Source organism: Homo sapiens, chromosome 12 (genome assembly GCF_000001405.40).
Source record: "Homo sapiens chromosome 12, GRCh38.p14 Primary Assembly".
Taxonomy (NCBI): domain Eukaryota; kingdom Metazoa; phylum Chordata; class Mammalia; order Primates; family Hominidae; genus Homo; species Homo sapiens.
This window is the reverse complement of record NC_000012.12, coordinates 80,772,754-80,783,354: the sequence shown is the minus strand read 5'-3', so window position 1 is coordinate 80,783,354 and position 10,601 is coordinate 80,772,754. Positions and strand designations below refer to the sequence as shown.

General features: G+C 38.5%; 2 annotated features.

The window, feature by feature from the left end:
• Nucleotides 4,435-5,634: an enhancer, noted in NCBI's record as "MED14-independent group 3 enhancer chr12:81171500-81172699 (GRCh37/hg19 assembly coordinates)". NCBI's record gives its function as "activates an origin of replication core promoter dependent on BRD2, BRD4, P300/CBP and CDK7 cofactors, and independent of MED14, by STARR-seq in HCT116 cells {active_cell/tissue: HCT116}" and the evidence as "EXISTENCE:reporter gene assay evidence [ECO:0000049][PMID:35650434]".
• Nucleotides 4,961-5,190: an enhancer, noted in NCBI's record as "active region_6689". NCBI's record gives its function as "activates an Ori minimal core promoter by ATAC-STARR-seq in GM12878 lymphoblastoid cells {active_cell/tissue: GM12878}" and the evidence as "EXISTENCE:reporter gene assay evidence [ECO:0000049][PMID:35858748]".

The following is a 10,601-nucleotide window of genomic DNA, read 5'->3' as shown; positions in this document are numbered from 1 at the left end:
CATCCTGGCTCAAAAGCTCCCCTACTGAGCACCTTGTGACCCCCCAACTCCTGCCCGCCAGAGAACAACCCCCCTTCTCCTTTATCTACCCAAATCCTACAAAACAGCCCCACCCCTATCTCCCTTTGCTGACTCTCTTTTCGAACTCAGCCCGCCTGCACCCAGGTGAAATAAACAGCCATGTTGCTCACACAAAGCCTGTTTGGTGGTCTCTTCACAGGGACGCTCATGAAAGAATTGTCATACCTAAAACAATGGTTAAGAGTTTCTAATGTACATAGACAGAGCTCTTACAAATGGAGATTTCCTTTATAGATGTAAATTGCTTTTACAAACGTCTTTCAAGATAGCTGGTTAAGTGCCAGGTAGGTGTGTTTTAGTTTGATAGATGATCTTTTTAATTCAGCTGCTCTTTCTTAGCTAAAATTACTGAGTTCGGGGTGGAGTACATTAAGGAATAGGACAAAGAAAGCATTCTCTATACCTGAACTCAGTATGGATAGATCTGAAAAAGAAGCAAGCCTACTTTACTGAGTATCTTCTTTTTCTAAAGACATTATCTAGGATAGCTTTCTTTTCACCTTTGGGATGGAATAGTAACGGCCTTAATCAGGGTTCTCTAGAGGGACAGAACTAATAGAATATGTGTGTGTGTGTGTGTGTGTGTGTGTGTGTGTGTGTGTGTGTTTGTGTATGAGAGTTTACTAAGTATTAATTCACATGATCACAAGGTCACACAATAGGCCGTCTGCAAGCTGAGGAGCAAGGAAAGCCAGTTTGAGTCCCCAAAACTGAAGAACTTGTAGTCCAATGTTCAAGGACAAGAAGGGTCCAGCATGGGAGAAAGATGTAGGCTGGGAGGCTAGGCCAGTCTAGTCTTTTCACATTTTTTTTTTTTGTTTGTTTGTTTTTTGTTTTTTGTTTTTTCTGCCTGCTTTATATTCTAGCCATTCTGGCAGCTGATTAGATGGTGCCCACGCAGATTAAGGATGGGTCTGCCTTTCCCAGCTCACTAACTCAAATGTTAATTTTCTTTGGCAACACCCTCACAGACATACCCAGGATCAATCCAATCAAGTTGATACTCAGTATTAACCATCATAGTAACTAAGTGAAAATGTTAGCAGTTTCCATTTTTCTTCTCAATTAGTTGCTTGAGCTTTTTATTTGCCTTAAGCAAAAGTCTTTTCTTGTTTAAAAAATAAATAAAAAAAGACTCCTCCGTGGATGAGACTAATTAGGGGGCCCTCACTTTCAAATGCACTTCTTAAAGTGCAATGTTGTTCACTTGGAATGTTCCACTCTAATTTTAAACTATCTTTAGTAAGATTTTGCCATTTCTATAACCATTTGCTGCTTCTGGGGCCTAATACTTTTCATGTGTAAATGTAGGCATAGCTGGAAGGTAGATTACTCAGTTCTTAAGAAATTAAGGATCCCATTTTTACTCTGAATCTTGGCTTTGACTCTCAGATCTCCTTGATCAACTTAATAATTTTTCCATACCCAAATGCCCAGGAAAAATTGACAAAAATCTCTGTAAATGTATGAAAGCTGAAGTTTGCATCCCCTGTAGTATAACCATTTAATCCTAGTTTCTCTCTGAGCCAGTCAGACACCTAAGACCTCTAACTAGATCCAATTCAGTTAATTAACAGAGCCAATCTGATTCTGGGCCCAGCCGAATTTATGCTGCAACTTCCAACCCAGTTTGGATCAGAAATTTGCTCAAACTCAGAATGCCTCAAAACACAAATCTGTGGGGCTTCAGAATTCAAGGGAGAACTAACCAATAATCCCCAGTTTCAACAAGAAGACAATGGATACAATGGGCCCAGCAGGTACCTTGCTTGGTCACTCAGTGCTCCTGGGGGTCACTGGAAGCTTTTCTTTGGATCCCACTTCTGACATCATCTGTAAACAGAAAAAAACCTTAGACAAATCAAATTTGATAGAGTTCAATTGAACAAAGAATATTTCAGGAATTGAGCAGCCTCCCAAGCAAGAGTAGGCTTAGAGAGACTCCAGCACAGCTGTGTGATGGAAGAAGACTTAGGGGCAGAATAAGGAAAATGACCTACAGAAAATGGAAGTGAGGTACAGGAACAGCCAGATCATGTACAGCTCAGCATTTACCCTATTTGAACATAGTTTTAATAGATGGAACTTGATGATTGCCATAAGAGTAGGTTACAGTGTGTTTACATGTCAATTTAGGTTAGGTTATAGTTCACTGTGTATGGAGAAATCTTTAGGCTGAATTTTAAATATGTAAGGAGGCAGCTTTAGGCTAAACTTAACAACTAGCACAGCTCTACAGTACAAAATATCTACCATGACTACATCAGATTATGACCAACAAATTTCAAAGTATTTGCTGAGAATGTGGTGTGTGTGTGTGTGTGTGTGTGTGCGATGAGGGGATGAGGGACTGAGCAAAGTTCAGTGATAGGCTAACATGCTAACTAACATTAGGGAGTAATATGGTTTGGAATGTGTATTTCCCTACTAAATGGCACTGCTTTTCTAGCCTTATTAATCTTGCAGTCGAAATTGACCACTACCTATTCCTGGAAACTGTCCCAAACTTTCTTTCTTCTTAGATTTTGATTATTCCTGAAATGCCTCTTTCATTCCTCAGAAAAAAATCCCCAACATAAAAGGCCCATTTCAAATAGCTTCTTTTCCAAGGAGGTTTTTCTAATTTTTTTCAGACGTGACGTTATCTATTCCATCATCAAACCCCACTGTGATATTTGTTATTTGTAACCCCTCTTTAGCATTTTTCTTAGCTTGTCTTGTAGTGGACCCATTTGTGTCTTTGTCATTTTAATTTCTCCTATAGTAATTACCTACCAAGTGGGTACTTAATATTACTTAAAAGAAATTTTCTTTCACCTCTCAACTTTATAGAATGGCTGCTGGATTATCTTGGGTCTATCTCAGTTCTCTATAGCTCACTCACAAAGTTCATCTGGGTTGAGAACTCAACACCACACACTTCTAAGAAAGAAAAGAGCTTTAATTATTATTATTATTATTTCTACAAAGAGGAGATAAAGAATGTAAAGATAAAAGTGGTCATCCTTATCTCTTATTCCCTGGTTGTTCTGATCTTATTCTTATCCTCAGGATGAATGTAGAGGTTAATGTAAATATTAACCATATTAATATTAAATACCCAATCCCCCCACCAAATGACTTTACTGTAGATACATATTTCGTTGCTTATTTCATGGGAGAAATTCTAAAGTGTAAAGTGAGTTTTAAATTAGCAAGGTGGGCACAATAATACTACTTCCATATGCCTGAGTCTGTATTAATGGTCCTGCCTATTGCCATTGCCCATCAGAACACAAGCCCCACTTACACTACAGTAGTTCTCCTCTGCCCCTAAGCCATTATATCAGGTACAGGAGATTGTGAGATTAATTACTGTTGTCTCAGCTGTAGCCTATAGAGGAAGATAAAAGGTGATCATCGAAATCAAAACATTTCTTCAGCTTTAGCCCACATTGTGTTCATCTGTGTTGCTAACACAAAGTTTTATCTGAGTTTTAACTTTTATATACCATATATATTCAACAACTAACTTAAACATTATATTAATTTGCTACTTCTACTGCCTCCCCGACACCAAGGATAGAAAACATAATATCTTGAAGGAAAATTATCATACATGAGAACTAATACCTAATTTTTTTCTTCCTTTAAGTTATAGTGATTACAAACACAAATTCAAGAACTATCCCACACAAACACAACGTAGTTCCAAAGAGTTTAATTGCTACCTGTTCCATAAATCTTTGCTTCCTGTGAGTTTTTGTTTATTAGCTGTATTTTTGTAGATAATAGGGTTGTAAGGGTGAGAGGCTGACTGTCTGCTACAAAGAAGGGACCCATAGAAGGTCTAGACCTGGATTTTTGTAACACAACAATCCAGCATCTAATCCTCAGCTTTGAAGATCCAGCTTTTCTGATTTTTTTCTGGGAAACCCAAAGAGACAGTCTCATTTAGCACTAGGTTTTTCAGAATAATTATTACTAGCACTCCATTTTGCTCTCAGAAGTGTCCCAATATAGATAATACATTATGTAGTCAACATATCTATAGGTGATATAGCACTGGAGAATCATTCATATTAACCTGCCTCAGTTCACAAGAAGCTTAGGATTCTTTTCTTTTTGCAATTAACCAAAACACAACTCACTTGAGCTTGAGAAGAAAAAAAAAAGAGAGAGAGAATCAATTACTTCCAAAACAGGACAGATCCAGGTCTCAGTATCTCAGTGTTGATAGAATTCTTACCTCTTCTTACCCTTCTGTCTTCCTCAGTGCTGCTTGTCTCTCCTCTTTTTGATCGTAGCTCTTGTTCTCTCCCACTGCAGTCATTTTCTCTCCTTTGGATGTTCCTCTCCTAGTCTCGATTCCATTCTTATAGCTCTTCATCTAAAAGAAAAACCAGACTCTTTCCCTCAGTGCCTATATCTTACAGGTAGTATCTGAATGACTTGGGTCTGGTGCTCACTTCTTAAGGAGATTATTATGGGAAATGGTAGCATGACTGGCCAGGTCTGGGATATATCCTTGTACCTCCTGGATGTCCACTTACTAGCTGTAGGAAAAGCAAGATGAGTAGGACACTAACACCTCTAATAGAAAACAAGTTAAAAAAAAAGCTAAAAAGGGACACAAATATCAAAATGGGGTTCAATTATAGGGGAGATAACACATCACTTGAGGAAATTAGAAAAATCTTCTTGGAAGAGATGCCAATTGAAATAGATGCTAAAAGTTGAGTGAGATTTGACAGTACGAAAGGAGTCTGAAATAGCACTGAGATAGACATTGACAAGAGGAAGATTGCTCTCCAAAATTTTGACTTAAAATAAGAATCATTTATTTTGTTACTCATCCTGAAAGTCACAGAATTAGGCTGAGCTCAGCCGGGCTGTTCTGGGTTTGACTGGCTGGGCCTCCCCATGTGCCTGTAATCAATTGAACATCAGCTAAGCAGCTCTGTTTCTGGGGTTGGCTGACTTCCAATTGAAGTGACTCAGCTTTTTTCCCCATGGTCTATTACCCTCAGTAGGCTAGTTTGGGCTTGTTCTCATAATAGAGGAAAAAATCTCAAGAGAGAGCAAAAGTCCACAAGACCTTCTGAGAGTTAGGCTCAGACAGGCAAAATGTAATTTCTATCACATTCTATTGGCCAAAACAAGTCACTAGCCCAGCCCAGAGTCAGCAACTGGGGGAAAAGTCTCTACCTCTTGATCATTGTAAAAGGCATTTATACACAGAGGAACAGAAAATTGGGCTGCTTTTGCAATCTACAACAGTGTTTTACCGAAATAAGATAATTAGAGAAGTATTTTGGGTAGACAAAGCTATACTTAACAGCTAACATTTATTGAGTTGTATTTTTTTTCTCTAATTTCATTTTTATCCTGACCTTTATCTTTTGTCAGAATACTTAACTTGCTAAAGTGTCTGACCCGTGTCCAATTGTTCTTCTCACAGGAAACTTATTTACACTGGCAAATGCCCTTGTGACTCTCACCAGACCTGTGAATAGTTTATTCCTACCAAGATAGCCACTCTGTAGGAGAGCCCTGACTGGAAAAGAAGTTAGGTTCGGGTATGTTGGTCGTGTGAGATGCAGAAGAGGCAGCACAACAAAACACATGGTATATTAATCCGTTTTCACACTGCTAATAAAGACATACCAGAGACTGGGTAACTTATACAGGGTAGATGTTTAATGGACTCACAGTTCCACATGGATGGGAGGCCTCACAATTATGATGGAAGGCAAGGAGGAACAAGTCACGCCTTACATGGATGACAGCAGGCAAAGAGAGAGCTTGTGCAGGGAAACTCCCCTTTTTAAAACCATCAGATCTCGTGAGACTTATTCACTATCACGAGAACAGCACAGGAAAGACCCACCCCCAAGATTCAATTACCTCCCACTGGGTCCCTCCCACAACATGTGGGAATTGTGGGAGCTACAATTCAAGATGAAATTTGGGTAGGGACACAGCCAAACTATATCACATGGAATAATAGAAGCAGTTTTATTACTCACATATACCCTAGAGAGAAGAGAGCAGCACATTTTTCAGGACCGACAGGAAGGAGGGAGTCCAGGACACACACTCAACTGTCAAGTGGGGAGCAAGAGAGATAGAGTAAGAGACCTGAGGTCCAAAGACTTTATTGGGGTTCAGGCCATTTCCTAGGTAGATTTCCGGTGGGGAGTTACAACTGGTGGGTTTAAGAGCAAGTGGGCAGTTTGATGCAGTCCTGCAGTGACTGAAAGGTGGTCACTGTGGCCTATCTACAAAGCACATGCCACATGTGGGAGTGGGTAGAGCAAGTAGGTTGAATGTAACTATCTCGTAGGGAAGTAGTCACCAGGAGGCAGTTAATGAGACAGATATCTGAATGAAACACCTTGAAAAACTGGGAAGAGGTGGAGAACTGAAAACTCTGTCAAGGGTGACTAAGCTCTGCCTCTTGTATGAGGAAGTCAAACCTATTAACTCATTGAATATGGAAAGTCAAGCCATTTACATTCAAAATGGATGTTGAAGCAACATACAATTATAAGAATTCATTATATTTGTACTTACTATGTGTCAAGTGCTGTTCTAAGAACTTCACATATATTAACAGATTTTAATTATTGTGATATCCTTTATTTCAGAGAAACAGACTACCTGCATATGAACGTTTAGGCAGGGTTTACTAATAGTAAAGGAAACCTAGCTGGGTCTAAAGTTAGGAATTCCCTGCACCCTGGGCTGTTGCTCCTCATTAGAAGTTAAGCTACCCAGCATAGTCACTGCTTAAGTTCCCAGCTGCCTATGTAGAATGTGACAAATAATAGGATAGTTTTGACTTTCTTCTTTCAATCCAATTGCAATCTACTGAGGCAAATATGATATGATATTATATGTTATAAGATCTCATGTTTACATATGAGAGTAATATGTTTTTATTGGGCCAGAATTATAGCTAAGATTTGAAGATGAAATAGAAGTTAACTGCATATTCCCATACTCTAAAGAAAGCCATTATATTAGTCTGTTCTCACTCGGCTAGGAAGAAATACTTGAGACTGGATAATTGACAAAGGGAAGAGGTTTAATTGACTCATAGTTATGGATTGCTGGGGAGGCCTCAGGAAACTTACAATCATGGCAGAAGGCAAACGAGAAGCAGTCACCTTCTTTACATGGCAGCAAGGCGGAGTGAGTATGTGTAGGGGAAATGCCAGATGCTTATAAAACCATCAGATCTCACAAGAACTCACTCACTATCATGAGAACAGCATGGGAGAAACTACCCCCATGATCCAATTACCTCCACCTGGACCTGTCCTTGACACATAGGGATTATGGGGATTACAATTTGAGATAAGATTTCAGTGGGGACACAGAGTCAAACCATATCATCCCTATACTATCTAAAAATAATAGCACTGGGCCCATTCAATTCAAAGCACCCTTCCTCTTCCATATATCAGATCAACAGAGAAATAAAAGTGTAAGAAATGATGTTTTTGGGAGAGGTTTTTCTATGTCCACCTTCACTCTTGCCCAGCCCAACCCATGTGAAGGAGAGGAGCTTAAAGATAAACTATCAGAAAAATTTAGTAGGGTTAACACTGGATCACCCAGATTCATAATAAATATTACTAGCTCTAAAGAGAGAGATAGACTGGAATATAATTAGAGTGGGGAAACTTCAGTACTTCACTCTCAGCATTAGCATTAGCATCTAGACAGAAAATCAACAAAGAAACATTGGATTTAAACTAAACTTTAGACCAAATGGACCTAACAGATGTTTAGAGAACATTCTATCCAACAACTGAAGAATATACATTCTTTTCTTTGGCGCATGGAGCATTCTCCAGGATAGACCATATGTTAGGCTACAAAATCAGTCTCAACAAATTTAAAAACTTAAAATCATGTCAAGTAACCTCTCAGACTACAATGGAATAAAACCAGAAATTAATACCAAGAGGAACTCTGGAAACTGTACACATACATGAAAATTAAGCAACATGTTTTTGAATGACAATTGGGTCAATAAAGAAATTAAGATGGAAATCAAAAAATTTCTGGAGACAAATAAATATGGAAACACAACATACCAGAACCTGTGTGATACAGTAAAAGAGGTGCTAGGAGGAAAGTTTATAACAATAAATGCCTACATCAAAAAAGCAGAAAGATTACAAACTAACAATCTAACAATGCACCTCAAGGAGTTAGAAACAGAAGATATAACCAGGCCAGGCATGGTGGCTAACACCTGTAATCCTAGCACTTTGGGAGGCCGAGGTGGGCAGATCATGAGGTCAGGAGTTCGAGACCCAGCCTGGCCAACATACTGAAACCCCGTCTCTCCTAAAAATACAAAAAATTAGCTGGGCGTAGTGGCAGGCCCCTTTAATCCCAGCTACTTGGGAGTCTGATGAAGGAGAATCATATGAACCCAGGAGGCAGAGGTTGCAGTAAGCCGAGATTGCACCACTGCACTCCAGCCTAAGCAACAGTGGGAGACTCCATCTCAAGAAAAAAAAAAAAAAAAAAAAAGAAAAGAACTAACCAAACCCCAAATTATCAGAAGAAAGGAAGTAACACAGATCAGAACAGACCTAAGTGAAATAGAGCTTAAAAAATGCAAAGAATCAGTGGAATGAAAAGTTAGTTCATTGAAAAGATAAACAAAACTGAAAAACTGCTAGTCAAACTAAAAAAGAAAAGAAAACACCCAAATAAACAAATCAGAAATGGAAAAGGAGGCATTAAAACAGATACCACAGATACATGAAAGGTCATCAGAGAGTATTATGAATAACTATATTCTGAAAAACTAGAAAACATATGGGAAATGGGTAAGTTCCTGGAAACATACAACCCACAAAGACTGAATCAGAAAGACAAAGAAAACCCAAACAGATCAATAAACAAGTAGTGAGACTCAATCAGTAATAAAAAGTCTCCCAAAAAAGAAATGCCTGGGACCAGTGGGATTCACAGCTGAATTCTATCCAACATACAAAGACAAACTAATATCAATTCTCCTGAAACTATTACAAAAAAATTGAAGAGGAAGAAATTCTCCCTAACTTGTTCTATGAGGCCAGCAATACCCCGATCCTCAAATCAGACAAGGACACAACCAAAAAAAAAAAAAAAAGAAAACATCAGGCTACTATCCCTGATGAATATAAAGGCAAAAATTCTCAACAAAGTACTAGCAAACCAAATCCAACAGCCCATCAAAAAGATAATATACCACCATTAGTTGGGATTTATACCAGGATGGTTTAAAATATGCAAATAAGTAAATGTGATGCATCATATGATCATCTCAATAGATGCAGAAAAAACATTTTATAAAATTTAACATTTCTTCATGATAAAAGTCCTCACCAGTTGTGGTGGCTCACACCTGTTCTCAGCCTATTTAAAATTTTAGTTTTAAATTTCTTTAAAAATTAAAAGTAGAATCCCAGCACTTTGGGAGGCTGAGAAAGGTGGATTGTTTAAACCCAGGAGTTCAAGACCAGTTCAAGAAACCACATTTCTACAAAAAGTACAAAAAAATAAAATAAAATAGCTTGATATGGCAGGGTGTGCCTGCAGTTCCAGCTGCTCAGGAGGCTGAGGTAGGAGTATTGCTTGAGCTCAGGGAGATAGAGGTTGCAGTGAGTTGTGATCACACAACTGCACTCCAGTCTGGTTGACAAAATTAGACCCTGTCAAAAAACAAACAAAACAAAACAAAACAAAAATAAATAAAACCTGTAATCCCAGCATTTTGGGAGGCCGAGGTGGGTGGATCATGAGGTCAGGAGTTCGAGACCAGCCTGGCCAGCAGGGTGAAACCCCGTCTCTACTGAAAATACAAAAAATTAGCCAGGCATGGTGGCATGCACCTGTAGTCCTAGCTACTCAGGAGGCTGAGGCAGGAGAATCACTTGAACCCAGGAGGCAGAGGCTGCAGTAAGCTGAGATTGCACTATTGTACTCCAGCCTGGATGACAGAATGAGACTCTGTCAAAAAAAAAAAAAAAAATTCAACTCAAAATGTTCTAAAGACTTATGTGTAAGATCTGAAACTATAAAAATACTAGATGAAAATCTAGGAAGAACTCATGGACACTGGCCCAGGCAAAGAATTTATAAGACCTCAAAAGCAAGGCAATGAAAAGAAAATAAATAAATGGGACCTAATCAAACTAAAAAGATTCTGCACAGCAAAAGAAATAGTCAACACAGTGAAGAGACACCCTGTTGAATGGAAGAAAAATCTGCAAACTGTTCATCTGACAGGGAATAATATCCAGAATATAAAAGGAACTCAAACAATTCGAGATGAAAACAACAAACAATCCCATTAGAAAGTGGGCAAAGGATATGACTAGATATTTCTACAAAGAAGACATACATACAGCCAACAGGTAAATGAAAAAATACTCAATCAAGATGGCAACCCCATTTTCAATAGCTAGGAATAATTTATAAGATTAATCATCAGAGAATTGTACATCAGCATCACAATGAGATATAATCTT